The sequence below is a fragment of the Homo sapiens genome, chromosome 12 (genome assembly GCF_000001405.40).
Source record: "Homo sapiens chromosome 12, GRCh38.p14 Primary Assembly".
Lineage (NCBI taxonomy): Eukaryota > Metazoa > Chordata > Mammalia > Primates > Hominidae > Homo > Homo sapiens.
In genome coordinates, this window is record NC_000012.12 from 33377976 (window position 1) to 33402515 (window position 24540).

A 24540-nucleotide genomic window follows, 5' to 3' on the forward strand; every position below is an offset into this window, starting at 1 on the left:
GACACAACTCTCAAATAACTGTTCCCTTCTCATATTTATGCTTTCTGTGACAATAACATATATAATTATATACTTATTTTTCCTATAATGCACAATCCAGCTAGTTCTTAGGTCCCTAGTCCGTATATTCTGTTTGACTAGTGAATGTAGGAGCAGGGGTTAAAAGGAGCTATTTTGCTGGAGAATGTACATTTACACAATCTTGTTCTCAATAACTATCTGGGATCTTTTTCTGATGACTATATTGTAGCTTATCTTCCTGTATATTCAGTTACGACAAAAAAGTGTCTACACATTCTCAAACACAAACATGTGCCTATTACATAATTCCCCTTCATCAGAGAAAAGTAAAGCTGCTTACTAAGCACTAATAAATAATTAATATGCCTTGGGTCATAAAGCACCTTTCTCTCATTCCTTGAGAGTTCTTGCTCACATTATCTCACTTCTCCCTGCATCATCCCTGTGAAGCCGGTAGAGGCATGCAGTTCTATTTTTGTTAAATATGGAGAAGTGTAGTTGGAGACGTAGTGAACAGGCTGCTCAGAAGTAGACAGCCAGAGAAACAAAATTAGAATCCACCTCTCCATTCAGAGTGAGTTCCTGCCCAACATGGCTTTACTCTCCTTTTTAGATTTTTAGAATTAATGTTCACTTTTCATACTTAAGAAAAGATCAGAACCAGGAAAAGAATACTAATTATACAATAAGCAGTAAAGTGTACTTTAGACAACATCCACTGTTGAAACAAATAATAACTTTCCAAGCCGTGAGCTACTCAGAGAATACACGTCTATACTTATAAAGTTCTAGGGGAAAACACCAAGTGACTGGGTATCTGTGTGTGTGTGTGTGTGTGTGTGTGTGTGTGTGTTTGTAGATGCATTTGTGTGTGTGTGTGTCTGTCTTTTATGATTTATACTAAATTATGAAGTCAGATAAAGACTTGACGCATTCACATATAAACAGATATTGACGATGACAGTTCACCTGTGTGAGCATGCAATGCTCATTTGGTGTTCATCCTATTTCCCTTAACACGTCCTGAGTAACAAAGCCAAGGTCACTTTTTTTGTGACTAAACTGAGATTAGAACCTCGTCCCACTGATATTTAGTCAATGGGATACTGCACAGCCTCTCCCATTCAATCCAGTCCCTAGTGCCAGAACAAGAAGCACTAAGCACTTAATATTCATCATTTCTTTAGTTTTACTCTGAGTTTACCACTATTTCAGAGTCATAGCAGAAACACAGAGGGTAAAGTAACTTGCCCGAGGTTTCACAATAAGCAGTCACACAGCAGAGCCAGGCCTTGAACTCGACTAAACTGACACCCCAATATTTTAAAAACCTGTGGGCAGTTTTACTTCCTGACCAGAGCTGAGGGAGACATATCTTTCCCCTTACGCAGAAAAGTTATATTAGGTGACAGCACCTTTATTTAGGGATTGTGGAACACTTTAGGTAAGGTGGCTGTTTTTTACAGAAGAGAAGGACAAAAATGCAGTTTCCAGTTAGTAATAAACTTATTAGATTGCTCCAGCACTCACTGATGTAAGTTTTCAGGCTATGCAAAAAAAAAAAAAAAAAAAAAAAAAAAAAAAGAGACTTGCAAATGGCTTACTGTCCAAAAGAATATGAAGCCCAGAAAATGTAGTGTTTTTTAAAATCCAGGAAGGCACACAGAACTTTGAATATTAAATGTTAGACAATGTGGGACAAAAGCAAGAACAATCTTTTCTATTTTTTTTAACAAGGGTGAATACATAAAATATCAGATAAAGGTTAGCAAATAAATAATATTTAAGCAAAAGAGACAACAAAAAGAGCAGACGTAAGGAACTCACAAGCTTACCTCCAGCAATGGGTGCCAGTGCGTTATTGGTTTTCGATGATAGGCCAGCATTTCATTCCAGTGGTCTCGCCCAAGACCCTCAGCATCCAGTCCTGTTCTGCACACTCCTATGACCTCATTGTGTCCTACCCTATGATTTGTGGGATATTATATTTTCATTTCCAACATTCAAAGATAAAGGGGGTTTCACAAATCGTAGTAGAATTTTAAAAATATGATTAAAACATTAGATTCTGTAATTTTGCAGATTATGCTACTTCAGACCGAATGAAATCTCTTAAGTAAATCAACATTTACTAAACAGTATCAACATTCAAAAAATGAATGTGTATAAGAGGCACACACAAACCATTTCAGTGCTTTGTAGTTTAAGCACATTTCATCATAATAAAAATGGCATGAATGAGAAATACCAGTAGGTCTTTACCTATATGATGAGTGTCTTTCTTGGAAGCAGTCTTATTTAATACAAGTGATGTAAAACAAATCTTGTTCTTTCCACAAAGCTTAATGTTTTATAACGATGTTTAGATTTCTCACCAAGAAATACAGCAGTACCAATTTTCTTTAATTGACTCTAAATGATACCTCAGTGTGTTACCACTTGCATTACAATTAAATAGGGCAGGATTATGTTCAGTTGCATGGCATGTGATTTATTTTTGCATAACAGAAAACATACTGGACAACATTTGTATATTCTATTCAGGTCCTGCTTTCATAGCAATGAATCAAGATGATAATAATAACAGTTAATATTTTTGAGAGCTTATTATGTGCCAGTGTTCTAGGTAGTTTAAATGTACTGACCCAATTAATTCCCCCACCATGACCATGAATATCATTATTATCATTCTCTCATTTTATGAATAAACTAAATGCCCAGAAGATTAGGAGCTGGCCAGACTTTACACACTTAGTAAGAGGCAGAGACAGGAGCTGAATCAAAGGAGTTGTTGGCTCAAGAGCACTTGTGGTTAAGTTGCTTCTCAAGAATGGAATGTCATTGAAAGGAGTTTCAATTTTGACAGACATCTCCAAAGATACTTTTGAGATGATTTTAGAACAATTTCATTACTTTTTTTTCCATCATTGATGTAGATATGTATATGTAGTATTATTTTCTTTAATATGAAATTTCCCAAACAAGCATGTTTTTAGGTACAAAAATTTTGTCTTCCTGTGTATATCTTGTTAGCATCCATTTCCCTAAAATTGCCCCAGTGACAAATGCTCAGTTGTATCTACCTACACTTATTGCTGTGAGAAATCAATAGGGGTAATTGGCAAAGCAGAATAGGGCCCCTGATGAAAACATCTGCAACTTTTTTAGTTTGAAATTTCAATGGATTCAAGAGTTCGCTCTCTCTTTCTAAATAGTAGTCACAAGTTAAAATTTTTTAAAAATTATAAATTCATTTCTAGTAGACAGTGCTTGCAAATGTTATTTTTCAGTGTTTCCCCCCCTAGCTCTAAGCCAGAGGAGAGCACATTAATATCTCTCAGTTACAGGGTCCTGGTGATGATACTATAAAATGGACACTTAGCGTGTGTTTGTGCGTTTTAGAACAAAATAAATATACTAAGGTACTGTTTATGTGTTGATAATTTTGTAGGTTAAAAACACAAGTATTCATTTCCAAAGATTTTATAAATATAAAGGGCAAAATAATAAGAGGAAGTATATAGTAAGGCCCAAATAAGAGACATAAACCATTGATGGGACAAGAGTTCAGAGGAAGAAGAGGATTGGTCAGCAAAGCAAGACTTACAGAGGTGCTGACATAAGCCAGGCTGTGGGGTGTTGGTGGGACATGATACACAAAGCTGGAGGACAGTCCAGGCAACGGGGAGAGTGGGAGGGCAAAGGTAAGAGCTGCAGTGGGAAGGATCTTCAGAGCTGCATAGGGGAGGTTGCAATGTTTTCATGAAAGCAGGAGTGACTCAAAGAGTGTGATCTGGAAGAACTATCCATAAAGCAATGCTTTAAGATTGATGTGAAGGCATCAAAGCTGTATCCTTATGACTACTTATTCACTTTCCACTCTTACTCCTCGTTGTTCACAGTTCTGTATGATGCTTAAGTTTTACAAATGGGAAAAGTGATTCTCAAAGTGATTATGTAACATGTCCTCTCATGCAGCTAGTTAATGATAGAACTCGGGTAAGCATCATGATATTCATATTCCAGCCTAGTTGGTAAAACAAATTCTGTTGATTGTAATCTCTGTTGTTACTATAAAAAGACTCCACAATAGTGCTTTCTTGAATATGTTCTATACTACTTCTGGACCCATTCTTTCACCAGTCCCCGGTGAATTTTAATTTAAAGATGACTTCTTTTGGAAATGAAAATCCAGAACTATAACACAGAAAACAATGAATTTTCAAGGAATCATTATTCCCTCCTCCAATTTAAATTAAAACTGTTGTGGCAGTAAATGACCTGAAAAGCTGAGTTTGGCCTGCGCATGACTAGACATGGCTGCTCTTCAGTGAGAAGAGAGATACACATACCTATCGTAATCCATGACCGCAATGGAGAGGCTGACCTGGTCCACGTTCTCTGGAGGGATGTCAAAAATAATGGCCTCATTGTACACAGGGTTTAGAGTGTTTTTCTTTGTAGTTGTTTTCCTCTTTTTTAATCTTCGACCTTCACACATCAGGGACACTTTGACATAAGGATCTAGGAATAAGAAGATAACTTTATTAAAATAAAAGTAATAGTACAAAGCATAAATAAAACTGCAGTTTATTTTTACTAAATAAGACCTATAGTACTAAGGCCTATATTAAGACCTTTAGTATTACCAATTTTAAATTTGTCTCCAAAAAAAAGAGTAATTGTAGTAAGGTTAGTTTCTTTCAAAATGGTCTAGAGTAAGAAGATCAAAACTTGTGAAAGACTTAGCAACTCTGTACCTAGACAGATAGAGATGATCACAATAAGCAGAAATTAGAAAGCGAAAGCTATACTTGGAATTTTCTTCAATTACTGGAAAAGGACCTAAAATTAAAAATATCATTTGCTTGATAAGGAACTTGGATGGAAAAAAATGATACTTACAAGTGATTTATTGCATGCACAACAGTAAATGATAAAAGGGGGGATATTTGGTTTAAAGATGGCCACACAAAAAGAAGCCTCCTGATATGACATTGTCTACATCATGCCAATTACGGGGGAAAAATTTAGTTGGGCTACATTTTTACAGGCCAAAGGGATCAGATAATTGTTGACAAGTTCTGCTACAGCTGACTTGACATCTATCCTATTACCCTTACCATCTTAAATTGTAAAACTGCTATAGTATTATAGAACATTATATGATGGTTATACAAAATTTCCAACAAGCCTTACTTTTGCACCTTTTATTCAAAGCAGGCACGGTTTTGGGAGGTGATACTGACATTGGGTTGAGTACACTAGATAGTTAAACAATCAGTGTTTGCTATCAATTTTTTTTTCATTCTGACCATCCTCTAACTGTAGCACCAATATTTCTTTTTTCCTATTTCCATAGTATTACATTTTATTTCCATAGAATAAACCAAAATGATGGCAATATTAATTTATTTGAGCATGTGAATGCTTCTTAGACTCTTGAAATATGTATCTGTGTATTTCCAAAGTATTCCCATCAAGAAGCAAGGTATTCGTGGCTGGAAATAGGGTATGTAGAGGAAAACAAGATAACAGGGTCATGTTAATGTCTGTTTCCTATTTATTTTTAAATTTTTAAATAATATGAAGTATGTCCTAAGGAGAAGCTCATTTCTGTGATACAGCTTTGTGTTTGAGCCCACAGGCCTAGGCCTTCTAATGAACAGTGAGAATGAGAGGCATAGATTACCCTTTGTAATTCCCGTCACGTCTCTGACTACATTTCTCTGCTTGTGACAAGGATAATTTACTGGGTCTTTGGTTGATTCACAACCCTGTTGTGAGGATTAATGAGGAGGTGCTCTCAAAGCATGCGCTCCTCCGATGAAAAGTTTCATATAAATAAAATGTAATCTTGCACTTAATTATAACTTTGATGTTGTTTTCTTGTCTCAAAATTTGATCTCTTTTCATACATGGTAAAAAGGAGTAGAATAAACAATTTGCAGAGTACACTGTTTATCTTAAATTCTTCAACATTTACTGACCCAAGACTTTTTCACCAAAATTAATGTAGAATTTACTTGTTCTACTTTCACATACACACTATGTATCGCAAATTTTAAAAAATGAACATCATGACATAGCTCAAAAATCCATGATAGACAGATATACAATAAGTAGTGTCTCTCTCATTTGTCTTCATCCCTCTTCATCCCTTAGTTTTTGTATATCACTTCAGTATTTTTAATACAGATATTAGCAATATGAATACATATTCCAAATTTCCCCATTCTTACACAGAAGGGTGCATAATATTCATGTTAATTTTTTACCTCCTTTTTAAAATTCACTTGTACATCCTGGAGCTATTTCCACACCAGAACTTACAGTTCTCTTATGTTTTTTTTTGTGATGCAAATTTAGGTTTTGTTGTTGTTCTGCAAAACCACAAATTATAGATCTTCCCCAAATGTCATCCTTTATTTCCACCACTATTTCTTATTTCTGTTTACTACAACAAATACCTACCAGTCTCCCTACTGTTCCCTTATCATTTTTCTTCCACAGAGCTGTGCCAGTGTTTATGTATTAAATTCTAAGTAATTACCCAGAACTGCAGTGAATTAAATAAAGGGATGAAGAAGCATGATGTATCTTTATCTTTTTGTCAAAGTTAGCACAAGTAGAATTTCCTTCAAGAATTTCTTTCAGAATCTTCAAGAAGCATTAATTTATTTTATTATTTATTTCAGACCCTACAGATGCACAAATTTTTAGTTAGGTGGAAAAAATGCAAATGCAAATGGTAGTCGTGGAACATGGCTATTTCCCTGCAGATCAGGTGAGGGGAATAAATTCAGACTAAACATATCTTCACATGGCCTCACTCATCGCTTAAGCCTAAGAATCTTCCTTTATAAAAACTGACTAGCTGAAAGTAGGGGAGTAGATGGTAAATTATGTATTTTTGAGACAGTACTAAATTGGTAGTGGAAGAAACAGAAACAAGAACCCAAATTCAGATCTATTTGATAACACCTTTTAAAAATTTCATAATGATAACATATATAAAAGAGATGAATTGGAACATTTAAATTTGTAATCTTTTTTTTTCTTTTGTAGTACTCCCATTATAGGCAAATAATTCAGTAGTCATGTATCATTTTTAGATACATGAAATATTTCATTTGAGATTGTGCCCTTGGTCCTGTGGCCATTGTGTACATACCTGATGAGCCAGTAATATCCATCGCCTTCAGATTTCTGCACTTAATGACTGTCAATGTCATACGCCCAGCCGTCGGTAGGTAACAAAGGGAAAACATGATTTCACCCAGGTCTATACTTTCCTAGAAAGGCAATCGGCATGTTAGCAATTTCAAACATTGAAGGGTGAAAACCAAAAATAATCATTTTAGTAGAATACTGGAATGTCATTTTAAATTGTTTTATTGAGGATAATACAGATAACATTGCAAGAAAGCTATTCTGAATGCAGTAAGCAAAAAGAGTGTATCCCAGTTGCTTATTTGCTATCTCCACTTGTATTTACAACAAGAATCTCAAACAACATAGTCAAAACCAGACTACTGATTCCACCCATGCCCCATCATCTTCCAAAACTGATTCTTCTGTCAGTGTTTCCGCAATCAACAAACGGCATCATAATTCACCCAAAGGCTGAAGCCAAAAACCCAGTAGTGACTATTATTCTTTTATCCTCACCCTATGAGCAACCCATGGGCAAGTCCTGTCTACACTATCTACAAAATATATCCCAAATCAGTGACTTTCTTTTCAGCTCTACTACTGCCATTCAAGCCACCATCACCACTTGCCAGGATTACTTCACTAGCCTCTAAAACAAAATTCTCATTCCAGAAGTTAATCTTCACACAGCAAGGTGATCATTTATGAAATGCAAATCTCTTGCTTAAAACTGTTTAAGGGATCACAACTGTAGTGGAATAAAATCCAAACTCCTTACCCTGGCATGTAAGTGGAATAACTTCAAGTCCTGGTGTGCCTGGGACATTCCTGGTTTATACCTATTATTATGGTGTAATTATTAAAAACATCCCCGTCCACATTTGTTTTTTGAAACAGAGTCTCGCTCTGTTGCCCAGGCTGGAGTGCAGTGGTATGACCTCGGCTCACTGCAGCCTCCACCTCTGTTCAAGCAATTCTCCTGTCTCAGCCACCTGAGTAGCTGGGATTACAGGCATGCAACACCACACCTGGCTAATTTTTGTATTTTTAGTTTCGACTGTTGGCCAGTCTGCTCTCAAACTCTTGACCTCAAGTGATGTGCCCACCTCAGCCTTCCAATCTGTCCACATTTAAATATGTCTTTGTTTGGCTAATACATTAGAACGTCACACACATAAGGTTTATGTCATCTGGGCCCTACCTTTCTCTCTAACATTTTTTCATTCCTTTCCCCTCCAAGGTCTGATGCAGACACAAATGTCTTTCTGTGTGTGTGTGTGCATGTGTGTGTGTTACTCAAACAAATGAAGTTTGTTCCTGCTTTGGGGCCTCTGTGTGTTTTTTTTTCCCTTTGACTAGTACTTCTTTCTCTTAAATCTTTATATGGCTGACTTCTTACCATGCAGAACTCAACTCAAACAGCATCTCTGCAGTGGGGTCTTCTCCCATCATTCATTCTGAGACTGTACATCCTTCATATCCTATACTCACCTCACTCCCAGACCCTTCACATATTTTTGTAGTACTTATTGTCTGATATCATCTTTAAATTCTTTTTTGTTTGTTTCCCTGACTCCCAGATATAACACCCAGGAGAGCAGGGTTCTTGGCTGTCTTACTTTCTACAACGTACTGAAGTGCACGGTGCATAGCTGATACATACCAGTTCATATTTTTTGAAGAACTGAATACATTATTTAATTAATCTGGATAAAACTTGACCTGTTTTATTTCATTTTTATAAAGCAGAACTGTCCACAGTACCCTGATATAGATTTATATGTGGTCTTTGACTGCATAGATGGTGGACAAATGAAAATGAATGTGGACAATGGACAATTTAGGATGCTCCTTAAAGAGTTGTTTACAGGATTCAGTGAAGCCATGCCTGGTAAGAAATTTGTGGCAGGTTTACTTTTGGGGGAAATAACTCGCTGATTATGCACCCAGGTCCACAGAGCTGGGGTCTTAAACTTTTTTCATGATACACTATTAACATCTATTGGGCTTACTCATATAGCTCAGGTTCTGATTTACATGATTCTCATTTCTTTATTCATGGTCTAGAAGTCGTACAGACCAGTAATTCAGAGAAAAAACTAATTAAATTTGTGTTTGACCCCCAGTTTTCTACTTTCTAAAAGTGAGGTCCTGGGAAATTCAATTAAGTTTTTAATCTCCAAAATTTCATTTTCAAATTGAGAATAACGCTCACTTCACAAGGGTTGTAAGCATTAAAGGAGATAATGTAAATAAAGCATAAGGCACTTTATACAGGGTTTGGCATGTGATAAGGAATGATGTTTTGTTTACTACTGTATTGCTAGCACATACAGCAGTGTCTTAGATATATCAGGCATTCAGTAAGTACTGGATAAATGAAAAGCTTAATAATGGAAGTGATTAGTATTGCAAGACTATTAGTAAACAAAAACTATTTTGAAAGAAAGGTATATCCAACTGGATATCCTTTGGGCTAGTGGATTGCTGTAGACCAAAAATAGTGAGCAAGATCCCATAGAAGAGGGTTGAAGAAAAACAGAAAGAGCACAGCCTACTGCTGAAGAAGGAACACCCTTCTCTTCCTTCTAACATGTTTTTTTTTTTTTTTTTTGAGACAGGGACTCTCACTCTGTCACCCAGGCTGGAGGGCAGTAGTGCAACCATTGCTCATGGCAGGCTCAACCTCTCGGGCTCAGGTGATCCTCCCACCACAGCCTAGCTGGGATTATAGGCATGTACCACCAAGCCTGGTTAATTTTGGTATTTTTTGTAGAGACAGGGTTTCACCATGTTGGCCAGGCTGGTCTTGAACTCCTGGGCTTAAGCATCTACCTGCCTCGGTCTCCCAAAGTGCTGGGGTTACAGGCGGGTCCAATCTCACACACGCAATGTGGAGATGGGGAAATTAATAGCAGTAAGTTTAGTGAAGACAGCAAGTAAAAATAGCTACAAAGGTACAAAACTGCTAAAAAAAAGAAGCAAATATTCTAAAAAGAATAGCAAATTGGAATCTTTTTGTATTAGGGGTATTAAACAATAATAATGCCTCAGTAACTTAAACTCAACATTTTATTACAGACTTGAACAGTAAATAATATTTAAAGTAATGACCTTGAGTCATCAAGGTAAGGAAATATATCCTATATGTTCTGTTCAAGAAAATAGAGACATGTGCACTATCTTTCAGGATTATTTTTATCCAAAATGCTTAAAATGTTTAAAGTGGTATTATAATTTCAGCTTAAAATGAGTAAGGCTTTGAGTTTCTGAAAATTGCATGTAGTCTCATTTTTCTACAATTTTATATAAACATGAGTTTCCCATATCAACCTCTGAAAAATTCTTGTATTTTGGGGCAAATAACCATTTGAAAGCCTGTTATAAAGTCTAGGATGCAGTATTCCATAAAATTTATTTTGGGTAAGAAGATTTTTATTCCATTCTCATACACACTAATTTATTTCGCTGAACAATCACAATAATAATCTTCAGAGTTCCTACTTGGAAAAGGAGCATATGAAAAAAGGGTAACACTGAAGCTGGCTCAGAGGTTATAAATTTGATTTCTTCATGCTGGCTCCACCAGAATGTAGCTGGGTAGATAAAGACCATTTTTTGATGATTGGCTATAGTCAACCTCACAGACTGAGTCACAGTTATAAAGTTTTTTCCATGTAGTCTCTTTCCAAAATAAAAATAAAAGTCACTGGAAAGATAAATTGACATGCAAATATTTGCATTGCACATCCTGTTACAGGACTAATAGTAAAATCAAGCTGTAGCAATGGAGTGTAAGAGATGGAGAGAAGGCAGATTAAAGCCTCCATAACTAGAAGGTCTATTAACCAAGAGAAGTATTCCTGGAGGAAAGTAATCATTAGGTTGGGCTTAAAGAATTAACCAGATGGGACTTCACAGGGTGATGAGGAATAATGCTGTACGTGAGTACTATGATTATACTCAGAAATAAAATGGTCAGTACGCATTGAGAAATATGGAGTTTGGAAACATGTTAGAGGAGAGTTAGGCTTGATGTAGTTGTTTGATGTCTTCTATGGGCAAGGTGTTGGTGACATGAAAGGGTGGGAGCTTGGCAGAGTGGAAAGGGCGTAGGTTCCTGGGTCAAAAAAACTGGAGTTAAAAATACCAAATCTTCCACGTTCTATTCCCAAGCACATGGCAAAAATACTTGACCTCCCTGAGCTTGAGTTTAATTGCAAATAAAATGAAGACTATAATAAGTAACTCAAAAGGTAGATATCAAACATGTAAAGTGCCTGGTGTAAACAGGCACTCAAAAACAATAATGATGTTAATGAAAATAATATTTGAAAAAAAATTTCTTTATCTTGAGTAGGCTAGATTAGGATGAAAAAAGACATAAGAGAAAGAGGCCATTGAAGTAAAGTTGGTGTGGGAAGATGTTGGCTGAGGGAAAGTTTGAATTCAGTGATATATTAGGAAGTAAGAATCATTAACACGTATTGAAAAAAAAACTAAACAAATAATTGGTTGCTGTGGTGATAGCAGTCATTACATCAACTTAGCACCTTGAATGCAGCCTGTCTTCCACATTTCCTTGGTGGTAAGAAAACAGATGATTTTCTTCACACAGTTAAAAGTGAGATGTAGAACTAGATCAAATGAGCTTCTTCATCAAGTTACTAGTCCTTCATCCACCTGCCCACACAATAAGCTACAACAAAATACAGACCCAGAGTGGGTCTATTGGACTCAAACCACTGTAAAATGTATTTCTCCCTGACCTACACTTCTCATTCACCTGGAATTTAACCTTGAACAAGCTACTTAACCTCACTTGACCTCAGTTTCCTTGGTATAACATGAGGTGCTCAAAGAGATGAGCTAATTTATTTTCCAGCTCTAAAATTTTGTAATTTTAAGCACTGGTAAAAAATGAGAACTAAATAACATATATAGTTTAGGCATGTTGGAGAATGTCTGGTCAAGCCCTTTCAGGCTTTGTTTGCTATAGTCCTGGCGGAGCCTCCTTGAAAAGACCACAAACAATCGCTGATGTGAACAGATAAATTTATAGGTCAAGAACAAGTAGTCATAAAAAGTGGCTATCATTTAAACTTCCAGATAATATGCTAGAGGAGGAAGGATCCAATCCTCAAGGCTGAGCGTATCAGGCTTGATCTAGTTGGGGATTCATGAGGAAAGGCCATACGGGATAATAAATGTGCAATGTCATTTATACGATCTTCTGGCTCGCTAAAATTCTCAAGAGGATTATCTGATGTGTGGTGGACACGCAGGATATACAATATGAAGTCCCAACTATTTGACATGACACATGTGGCCCCTACTAATCTAGTCTCTACATTTTTTTTCTGCCTTCATCTTACAAATTTTTTATTATGCTCCCACAACCCAAAAACTCCACCCTCTATATATATATAAAATAAATAATTTGCAAGGTAGATAGCAAACATGTAAAGTGCCTGGTGTAAACATATATACATGTATGTACATATGTATGTGTATACACACACACACACATAATGTCTGGTCAATCTCTAAACTTTCATTCATTCATTAGCACGGTCATGTTTACTGAGTGCATAAAAAATGCCAAGCACTCTTCTAGTCATTGAAGAAACACTGACGACTAAGACACAATTTTTCTCCTCCTAGGGCTTATATGTGATTTTGGACAAGTTACTTAACCTTGAAGAACACCACACAATTAATTAGGGGACAAGCTTTAACGATAACACAGGTCTGCATAATGTTAAATTACGTTTTTTTTTGTTGTTGTTGTTGTTTTGTTTTTTTGAGACGGAGTCTCCCTCTGTTGCCCAGGCTGGAGTGCGGGCAAGATCTCAGCTCACTGCAACCTCTGCCTCCTGGGTTCAAGCAATTATCCTGCCTCAGCCTCCTGAGTAGCTGGGATTACAGGCACATGCCACCAAGCCTAGCAAATTTTTGTATTTTTAGTAGAGACGGGGTTTCGCCATGTTGGCCAGACTGGTCTTGAACTCCTGACTTCAGGTGATCTGCCCACCTTGGCCTCCCAAACTGCTAGGATTACAGGCGTGAGCCAACGCCTGGCTGCTTTTTATTTTATTTTATTTTTTTTTATCTTGTTTTGTAAATGTTTTCTAGAGAGATACTTGGATTTTAATTATGGGAAGAGCGATGAAAGATATTTGATTCTTTCCATGACGATCTAGGAGGGCATTAGAGGTGGGTGACAATGTAAATGATGAAAAATGAGTAAAGGCAAAGGGAATTAGAAACAGAGGGGTCAGCTTATAAGGAGGCTGTGAGGGGAGGCTTAGAGTGCTCAGTGATGACCAGAAGGTCAAACAGAAAGCACTGGCTCTGGCAATGCCAGAGTATGATTTGAATGGCAACACAGTGGCCTTATTCTAAATGGCCTCTCCTCAGGAGCACATAATCAAATCACCTCTGACTGTCTCTGCAGTCAGGATGAGATCCATTTTTATGGCTAATAACAATTATGTGGAGGGGTTGCAGTTATATTTAAAAGGGATAATATACAAAGACAATATATGTCAGAGTGCAGTTTGCAGCCTGACACACAGTAGGTGCCAGAAAACATACTACTTTTCTTTTTTGCTCAAAACCATGTTTCTGAGGTCAGTGATTATCATAAGGTGAATGTTCATACAAAAGCTTACTAAATGAGTAAATAAATAATAAGGTATCAGGCCAGGTCATGACTTCCGTTAGTTGCAGGAGAGGCATCTACTGTTTGAAGGAGTGAAAGCTACCAGCAACTAGAAAACAAGTGACGAAGACACTTTTTACGGGTGTTGTGGTTTGTGTGAATGAAATTTCCTAAAATTGTGCAAGTGCTTGCCCACGTAAGATGACCTTGAGAATACAATAAACCAGTCATAATAGTTTTGAGCCATTTAAAGATACATGCAAGGTTTGGAGAGCTACAGTTAGAGGATACTTATCTATTAGTTTTATTGGACCTTATTTCTCTATAGAGCTCTCTAGTCTTGTGTGATATGGGATTATGTTTGCTGTAATTCTATAGCACACTAAAATTTCAGAATCAAATGTATCCCTAAGGTCTGTAAATTGCTCTTTTTCCTTACATATCTGGTAATTTCCCCCAGCCAGACAGCACATGCAGTCTACTGACTCTAGATGGCAAATGGGAGGGAGGAAGAAGCAATTTGATGGAGTACAATCAGGAAATGTAATTAACATTGTAACCCTTTTCCAGTTTCTAGCCCACTTTCCCCTTTTCCTTCAAAGAAGCACAATTTTTGCACAACACGCCCTCCCTGCCTTTCCTCTTCCTCCCAGTGATTCTGATTCAATCAGGTTTCATTGTGTTCCATAGAGGTCAGGGAAGATACAGGAAAAGGAGGCTTCTATCACAAAACCTAGTGAGATTACTGGATTTTTTACATCATATTTTCATTATTCACTCTTTTCTGCCTTCTCTACTTGAAGATAAAGAAAATGCTCACCAGGTGCCTTTTAGCAGGACCTCCTTGTGTTTCTGCATGAAAGAAGGAATGAATTTTATACTAAGCACATAATCTTAAGCATTGTGCTTGGCCATGGCACTAAATCCAGGTGAAGCATAGCTGAGGTCAGGGCAGGAACGGGGCAAAGAACATGGCTGTGTTAGAGACAGGATAATTACAAAACCCCTCTGGGCATTAAGCGATTAACAGCAACCACCCAGAGCTACTATTGCCAGGACACTGTTTAAGAATGCCCACGTTTCTGCTCAATGGGAGATCCATTTTCAGTTCCCTTCCAAATGGGAAATAACTACTAGTTTGGTGCAAAAATAATTGTGGTTTTTGCCATTAAAAAAAAAAAAAAAAAAAAAAAAAAAAATTGCAAAAACCGCAATTACTTTTGCACCATCCTCATAGATGCCAGAATGGTTTAGCTCTTGTCCTATCCAACACAACCATGGACTTTAGCTATCAGGAGCCACAAAGTGACAGAGCTGAGGCCTTAAAACAATCCTTCCTTGATTTAACTAATCAAGTCTCAAAATTAGCTGTGTAATGAAGACAGTGAAGTAAGAGGGAATAGCCCAACATAGATACTGAGACAAGTGCAACTTGAGACACAAAAAAAGGATACAAATTTCATAACAACTCTTCTCTTCCTCATACTGGTTAAGAGATAATCATAAGCTTCTGGATGCAAAAAACCAGAGACTTATTCTCAAACTTCCATCATCATTTACAGATAGGGGCATGAAAACCTGTGTAATAAACTATATACAACTCTCCTTAGACTGTTTGATGCTTTTAAATATTTTTACAAAATTCTTAAAGGAGTCCCTGTAAGTATTGCTGTATATAGACACCCAGACTGGATGAACTTGGCTCCACTATTTTAGAGTCTATCTTAAATTGATTGACATTGTTCCACTTCTTGCTCTCAAAGTTTCTTCTCCACGTAATAGCCACAGATCTTATTGATTCTAAGGGAGTCTATGGCTCACTTCTCAACAAAAGCCATCAATAGCCTCAAATGTCACTCAGAATAAAACCCAAAGCTCTTTCCATGGCCTGAAGACTCTAGATGACCTGACTCTCGGCTATCTCTCTGATTTCATCTCCCATCACTCTCATCAGAGAGTTCTTATCTGAGCACTCTATCTAGGGTGGCCCCCACTCCACTACAACTGCCTAGTTCCTGCCCTGCCTCATGTTTCATATAGTACGTGCCTTCATTCATGTGCATATTGTATATTTCCTTCATTATTATCTGTCTTCTTTTCTAGAATGTTGGCCTTATAGAAAAGGAACACTTTATGTCCTAAGATGCTGGGAAGAGTGTCTGGTAAACAGGAGAATTAAATAAAAGTTTGCTGGGTTGATGGGTGTAAGATCCTTGCTCCTCCCTATATAAGTAGATTATACATTAGAACATTAGCAGTCTACTTGTTATGATAACAGTGTGTTTGGGCACAATTTTCTGTGTCCAGTTATCTACACTCTTCCGTAGACTGGTATTTGATAGGTGCCAGCTTCCTTTTACTTACCATGGGGTGTGAGATGATAGATATTGAAAAATCTAAAAGCACTGTAAAAGCATGAATAAAATGGGTATCCAGTCAGTAAGGTCTCTGGTTTACTGAATTAAATGTGCAGGACTTAATGCAATATGTATCATGGCATAGTCTTGTATAATATTGCCACATTTTGTTCATTTTTTAAGATTTAGGAAAAGAGTTAAGGCATCAGTATCTCTCATTCATTTTTTCAAAATATGAGGGTAATACATTTAAGAAATCTAAATATTAGGGCAAGAACTTTAGGACATGGAAGTAGCTGGGATATTAGCAGTCGAGTGGATAACAAGAAGGTGTTTTCTCTATGTGCAACATGCTAGCATGTCAGGGATAACTGACAATTAGAAACTTTAAATTTTACAAACATTTTACGTTTATTATCTAATTTTACTTTCAAAATATTCCTGTTGGGTTGATATTATTACAAATCTCTTTTTGTGGATGAAGAAATAATTTCAGAAATGTTAAGCAACTTATTCTAAGCGATACAGCTAAAGGTAACCATCCCAGGATTCTAATTAAAGGATACTCATTAGCATTTTAATTCCTGTACTTTCGTACTTTACTCTGTGGCTTTACCTAATAGAAATAGTGCTTACACAGGCACGGTGGCTCACGCCTGTAAACCCAGCACTTTGGGAGCCAAGGCGGGCAGACCATGAGGTCAGGAGATCAAGACCATCCTGGCTAACATGGTGAAACCCTGTCTCTACTAAAAACACAAAAAAATTAGCCGGGCGTGGTGGTGGGTGCCTGTAGTCCCAGGTACTCGGGAGGCTGAGGCAGGAGAACGGCGTGAAGCCAGGAGGTGGAGCTTGCAGTGAGCCGAGATCACGCCACTGCACTCCAGCCTGAGCGACAGAGCGAGACTCCGTCTCAAAACAAACAAACAAACAAAACAAAACATAAAAAGAAATAGTGCCTACAATTTTAGTGGCCAGAAAAACAAAATTGTTTTTGTGGTCTTAGATTTCAAAGCCAGCAGATAAGGTACTATATTTCTTTGAAAAAGTTTTTTAGAAATTAGAAAATCAGATACTTGATTTATAGCAAACTGCTTAATGCAGCCTGTTACAGAGGAGGAGAAGAATTATTCTGAACATTTGCATTTAAAAAGCATCTGCATATTCTTGTCACTATATGAGTGTGTTAATAACTAATAATAGTTATACTGGTTAAATGCAAGGAAGAAATAGAACAACTTTTAACAGTATCTTTGGAACCTCACTAAATTCCTAGAACTTACAATAGGCCCAGCTATGTTGCTGGAGCATTAGGGAGCTAAATAGCTTCTCTTTATCTCCTACAACCTTCAAGCATTAAAATACACCAGGACACAGCTGATAGAATAATAACCCAAATATGGATTTTTTGTTAATTCCATCCAAAAGAGAAAAATTGCCTGGACATTTTCTGAAATAACATTGACTCCAATTGATTTTTAAAACAAGGCAAAGAGAAGCATTGCTTAGTTCTCTATGCATATCAGTCACAGTTTTACAAGACAGATTTGACAGGATTATAAGTTTTAAAGGCCTTATGCATATGTTTTTGCCACAAGTATTATGTTACAAATTTCTGTAATTCAAATTATATTAGTTTCGGCAATTCCAATTCTGTAAGCCAATAGTTGGACTTCCGTGTTTCACAAGAAAATTCATTTCTTTTCCTTTCTCTTTAGTATATTTCAAATATGGTAAAACTCTAATATCATTCAGGGCGAACAGCTGAACTAGGAATGAAAGATTTAACACCTAGTTCTGGCTCTTCTACTAATCAGCTTTGTTAATTTTAATTATTTTCTTAACATCCTTGGGCTTCAGTTTTCTAAACTATAAAAAGAAAGGATTAAACTTGGACTCTTTACCAATTCTAAAATAATGATTATATGATCTAGACATGAGACTCTCAAAATCCTGCCCAGAATATGCCCATGAACTTTTAAGGTAGTATGAAAAGACTTCTGACCTATTACAAATCTTATGCACTTTCTCTGAGAACAAGATCTCAGGTCATGATTTAAGATATTGATTTTATTTATATACAATTATGTAATTTGGGTATTTGATTATTCAACCTGAAAGCAACAAATTGGAGCAGTAAAGAATGCAGGAAGCATGCAAACTTATAACAGAGATGAGATATTTTAAATATAAGAGAACATTGGACAGAAATGAAAATCTGCTAAGTTTATATAATTAATGGTCACAAAGATCACTACTGTTAATAAAAGAGTAATTTACATCAGAATACTCTAATTAAAAAGCAGAAACATCTGTGGCATTTTATAAGTATTTATATTTTAAATTTCTAAGGTAAGAAACTGGGAACATAAAAATATGTTTTGGAACCTATAAAATTAACACAGAGAGTTATTTTTTCCAGGCTACTCTTAATAAATGACCTATAATCTGTGTCTGAAATCTTAAGAGGCAGAAATTCTTACTTTTTCAATTGCAATGAAATGTGGAATTCCACTTTTTTTTTTTTTTTGAGATGGAGTCTCGCTCTGTCGCCAGGCTGGAGTGCAGTGGCGCGATCTTGGCTCACTGCAACCTCCACCTCCTGGGTTGAAGCAATTCTGCCTCAGCCTCCCAAATAGCTGGGACTAGTAGAGACGAGGTTTCACCATGTTGGCCAGGATGGTCTCAATCTCTTGACCTCGTGATCCACTCACCTCGGCCTCCCAAAGTGCTGGGATTACAGGCGTGAGCCACCGTGCTGGGCCCAGAATTCCACATTAAGGAGATCCTTTGAAGTTCTTTATGTAATAAAGTGTAGAGTGTTTTAGCAATGATCACGGCTCTTTCTAACTTTCTGTGGTTGAAGCCTTGTCTTATCATCAGCCTTTGAAGGACTAATTTGATTTCTCCTAAGGTAATGAGCACATAGATATACAGACACATACACAGCATGGTCCAGAAAGGTTATAGGAAATTAACCAGTTTGTAATTAGGAAACATTTTCTTTCTTTAGAGTATCAGTGAGGGGTCCAGCAGGAAACAGATGGCACACACAAATCAGAGTAATTCCAGAGGGCTTCGTGAAGGGCTATTCACAGAGATGTGAGCTGGGAGGAGGAACCACAAGAGACAGTTACCCTGGAGTGGTAACAGCAGAGGCTGTCATGACCACTAGGACTTAAACAGCAAGTGGGGACAGTTACCTGGATTCAGAAAGAAAGTGGTCAGAAAAAAGGCCTGCTTTGAGAAAAACTGTACCCTCAGATGAAGGGCATAGACAGCCTGAGGTTTTCTTGCAGGGGAAGAGAGCAATGGACAGAAATATATTTCCCAAGGTCATTCTTCCGCCCTTTCTGTCTTGCCTCAGGACAGAAAGTCTGAACCAAACCGACCAGCCTTTTGAGGCACCAAACAGGGTAGAGAACAGCACTCACTGAACCTAAAGACACACCTAGGAGATATACAGCATCTTCAGCTTCTGAGGTTTTATAAGATGCAGACTGGTGAGGGAACAGAGGGAACAAAGTGCCTAATGGAAAGGGAAGAGAGCCCTCTTCCCCTAGGAAGAAGCCCAAGGAGCCCCCTTCCTTGGGAGAAGTCTGACTCTCCCAAGGAAGAGAATATGAATCTGAGTTGAAAATAAAAAGATGAGTGAGGCTTCCCAGGCAGAAACAGGGACAATGGACATTTCAGGCAGAGGTATCAGTCAATAAGAAAGCTTGTGGGCCTGGAAACCTATTGCTTTGAGTGAGGTGAAATTGATGCAGAGAAGTCATACAGGAGAGTGGCGGAAATGAACAGGGAAAGTTAGAACTAACTGCCAGTTCATAAAGAATAGGTAGAGTCAGAAATCGGAAGGGATGGGAAGGATAGGCAGTGGAATAGGGTGTTCAGGAGGGTGATACCCAGAGTGGAAGTGGAGAGAAATGAAGATGCCAAAATCCTCAATGAATGTGTGAAAAATAATTGGGATACTGTCTCCAGGTAGGAGATGAGGTCCAGGCCAGACGGCATTATGAGTATACACATCATACATTATAAAAAGAAGCAATAGTATCAGGCCGGGCGCGGTGGCTCACACCTGTAATCCCAGCACTTTGGGAGGCTGAGGCGGGTGGATCATGAGGTCAGGAGATCGAGACCATCCTGGCTAACACAGTGAAACCCCATCTCTACTAAAAATACAAAAAATTAGCCGAGCGTGGTGGTGGGCGCCTGTAGTCACAGCTACTTGGGAGGCTGAGGCAGGAGAATGGCATGAACCTGGGAGGCGGAGGTTGCAACGAGCCGAGATCATGCCACTGCACTCCAGCTTGGGTGACAGACCGAAACTCTGTCTCAAAACAAACAAACAAACAAAAAGCAATAATATCTACTCACTGAATCACAGCACACAGTAACTAAAAAGAATTAAAGGAACTCTGAAAACTTTCTGACTTGAATAGAAAAATGTAACACTTAAAATTATCCCTTATGATACTACTACTATGATATAATTTTTAGCATCAAGGTCTTTATTCCTATTTAATATGATAGCTATCTAAACAATAACAAAAACCTACCATAAAATATATCCTATGGCATATATGGAACATTTACAAATATCTGACTGTGCTAATCACTTATGTTATTTAGTCCTAACAACAAACTATGGTTAGCCTTCTCATAATTCCCATTTTACAGATACTATAATTAACACTTAGAGAGATTTAGTAACTTGGTCAAGCCATACAGAGATAAGTGACACAGCAGGAGTATAAAGAAATGTGGGTTTGTTACAGAGACTTCAGTGCTTCATTAAGCACTTACAGGCTACATTGCCTCTAACTACAGACACAGAGAAAGAGATAGTCTCAAGGATATAGTGGGGAAGCTAGATGGGAGTTATAATCTTTACCAGTACAACCATGTAGGAATTTAAATGGGAAATTATGTAGATGTGATGAATTTAGGCAACAAATCATCCTTTTGCTTTTCAAACAACCCCAAATATTATGACTAAAATACGGTTGGGAGCTATTCCTTAAGTGGCTGATTGATACTCATTTTCAAATGACACCCTTCCAATGAGTCTATCACTGGAAGCACATATCGTACTGTGCTTACCCAGCAACTCTAGATTTATCTAAAAAGCATGGCATCAATGCTGAATTACATTTAAAACTGGTGGCACAAATTTAAGTTTCAGATTTTCATTAACTTTGACTTTTTTGTTTTGTAAAACAGAAGGCTGTAATCAATGTTACAGGAAGCTGCTCTTTAAACTGCTAATAAAAGGCTAATATAATAATTGTTGTGGGCTATTTTATAGCCGCTTACCTACAATCTTTCCCATGAAAGTAAAAGTAGTCAAAACACACTGATCAGACAACAAAACCTTGTTCTCTAAATGTGCATAGATGTGATCTAACCTGAAAATAACATAATAAATTATGATGATTTATTTAATATTATTCATGAGACAAAGCTCCTTTAAGTAGGCTGGCTGAGTTAGGCAGATGTTAAGGCCAAGAAAAATCATACTTTGGGAACTGAACTCTCATGGTCTTATGATAGTATATGAAGGACTCTACTATTTTTAAACTGAAGTTAAATTTAATTTTAAATTAACATAGATGCTTCCCATCAATTCTCGCAAAGTAAAAGACCTTACATACAGGTTCATGGAATTTACTTTCATCATTTGAGTTAATCTATCATCAGTTACTGGTGGCCCATAAGCAGACGTGTAATCTGTGACACACCAAGGCCAGGTTTATCGCAGAGATGAAACAGAAAACTAGGAATGTTCATAGAGGAGCAGATGTGGGTTCATTGTCCCAACCTGCAGGTCGATAGCTACAATACTGACTGTTACACCCCAGGAGACCTGGTAAGACAGACAGCCCCTGACCAGAAAGGTTTGCTCCCTACTGCCCCACTTTCCATCATACTCTTTTCCTTAAAATAAAACTGGAATTTTGCCACTCTTTAAAATGTTATTAGCTGACACATATTTCATAGTTAATGAACTTTAGAAGATAATTCATTGATAGCTAAATGGGAAAAATATATAGTATTATTCTGATCCTATGATTGATCCAGGATGATTGGGGGTAGAATTAAAAAGACACCTCTAGATTAAAAATAATTTTAAATATTAAAAAATTTTAGTAATGTGTAATAAAATATGTTATTTCAAACTGAAGCTCAGCAGGTGCATCCAATACTCTGAATTGCTGATACAATGAATACAACAGTTCCTTTGTACTTGTCCTGTCAAGGTGTACTCTTTCAAACAATACCTGACAGATGCTTAGTTAGAATATAATAGATTCATTTTATAACTGTAACCAGGTCAATGTGATATACACAAGCAACTTCCTTACTTGCAAGAATTTTAAAGTGTGTAGAACACAGTTGGTGCAAAAAAAAAAATTTCATTGAATAGGTAAGTAAATAAATACATATGCAAATGAAGGTAGTTATGTTAAAAAAAAAGGAAATCTTTTCCTTGTCTACCTATATTTTCAATGGCTTCTTGAGTATGCATAGGAAAACTACATTTAAATATTGAAAATACATTAGTCTTGGTCAGGTGTGGTGGCTCACGCCTGTAATCCCAACACTTTGGGAGACCGAGGCAGGCAGATCACTTGAGGTCAGGAGTTCGAGACCAGCCTGGCCAACACGGTGAAACCCCATCTCCACTAAAAATACAAAAATTAGCTGGGCATGGTAGCACATGCTGTAATACCAGCTAATTCAGGAGGCTGAGGCGGGAGAATTGCTAGAACCTGGGGAGGTGGAGGCTGCAGTGAGCCGAGACCACACCACTGAACTCCAGCCTGAGGGATAGAGTGAGATTCTGTCTCAAAAAAAAAAAAAATAGTCTTTATAGTGATTGACTAACAAAATTCAACATAATGTTATGCATAATAGCTTAAACATAAAATGTATATAAAGCCACATGCTGCAAATCATTCTTTTTCTATAGTCATTCATCCAGTTTCTACCATATATTCATTCTATCCAGTTGCCAATAGGTAACTTCTACTACTAAATTCCCGTGTGTCTTTACATAGACTTTTTTGTATATATAACTGAATATGAATATGTATTTCTCCTTTACATTTCAGAAATAGCAGCATAGGGTACACACTGTTTTTTAATATGATTATTCCCTATGCTGGAGATGTTTCTATGCTCGTATTAGAGGTGGTTGGCTTGCCAGATTTGTGATATATAGTAGGGTGATTGCTAAAGTGAAAACTAAATTTTTGCACAGAATGAAGATTCACCTTTATTGTTTCTTTTGTCAGTATCAAATTTCAAAACAATTGCTACTTCCTGAAAAATATTAATCCTTCATATATAATTTATTATTAATGAAATCATAAATACAAAATATATGCCTCTTGTTTCAACCTGATAACATTTTTCTTAATAAATTTAAAATGTTCCTGCTTGATTTCATGTATATATGGCTGCCATACCCTGAATATTAAAAAGAATTTGTCTACAAAAAGTAGCTAACATTAACAAAGTACACCTAAGCATATCCTTGTTTATTTGTAATCAATAGGGTACAACATCCCATTGTTTTTTCCTCTGGTAGTGGTAGATCTGTATTTATACATCTCTACACTTAATCTCATATGAAAATTTGCTATGTTAAATAACATTCAAAAAGCATTTATTCATTAACCACTAAGCACTCATACTATGTAAGGGATGCAAGAGATATACAAGATGATTTCTGCTTTCCAGAAGCTCAGAGTCTAGTGGCAGACATAAGACAAATACCTGCAGAATGTTTAAATAAGTGCAGCAGACAATGCTTCCATTAGCATATATTAGCTTCTTTCCATTCTCATTGCTACCAGCCTCAATAGGCTTTGTCCATCTCATCTTGTCTGTGGTGTTAGATTCCTACCTGAGCACTACATTTCACAATCTCCCACTCTGATCCATTGTACACGTGGGTTGCCATATGAGATAATGGCTTCAGTGATTTCACTCTTCTAATAAAAAACAAAACAAATAGAAACTCCTATGACATTAAATGTCCTCTTGATTATAGATTAAATATAACATTCTGGTTTGGGTTCCCTTTAGTCTCTTCATTTCATATTCACACTTTACTTTTCTGCCCTCTGAAAACATGCTACAGTCTTAATTTATTTCCTTTTCCTCATGCTGTTTTTTTCTTCAAGAATCATCCAACACTTTTCTTCAGAATTCTATCATCATGGAAAGGCAATGTGAAATATTTTCATATGGGATATAGTCTGTACCAAAATTGTGTGTGTAGACAAGACCACATTTGTGGAGGCTATCAGGAAACAATTATATAATAATTTA

At 36.9% G+C, this 24540-nt stretch overlaps 1 protein-coding gene across 2 annotated transcripts in view; it reads right to left on the reverse strand.

Moving 5' to 3' along the window:
• Window positions 1-24540, reverse strand: part of SYT10 (synaptotagmin 10) — a 65582-nt gene that overhangs the window by 3738 nt on the left and 37304 nt on the right. For both annotated transcript variants that reach the window (NM_198992.4, XM_011520644.4), the window contains 3 exons: window positions 7196-7316; window positions 4374-4545; window positions 1857-1986 (listed from right to left, as the gene is read on the reverse strand). In NM_198992.4, coding sequence (NP_945343.1) covers window positions 1857-1986; window positions 4374-4545; window positions 7196-7316 — 423 coding nt within the window. The remainder of the gene's footprint in view (window positions 1-1856; window positions 1987-4373; window positions 4546-7195; window positions 7317-24540) is intronic.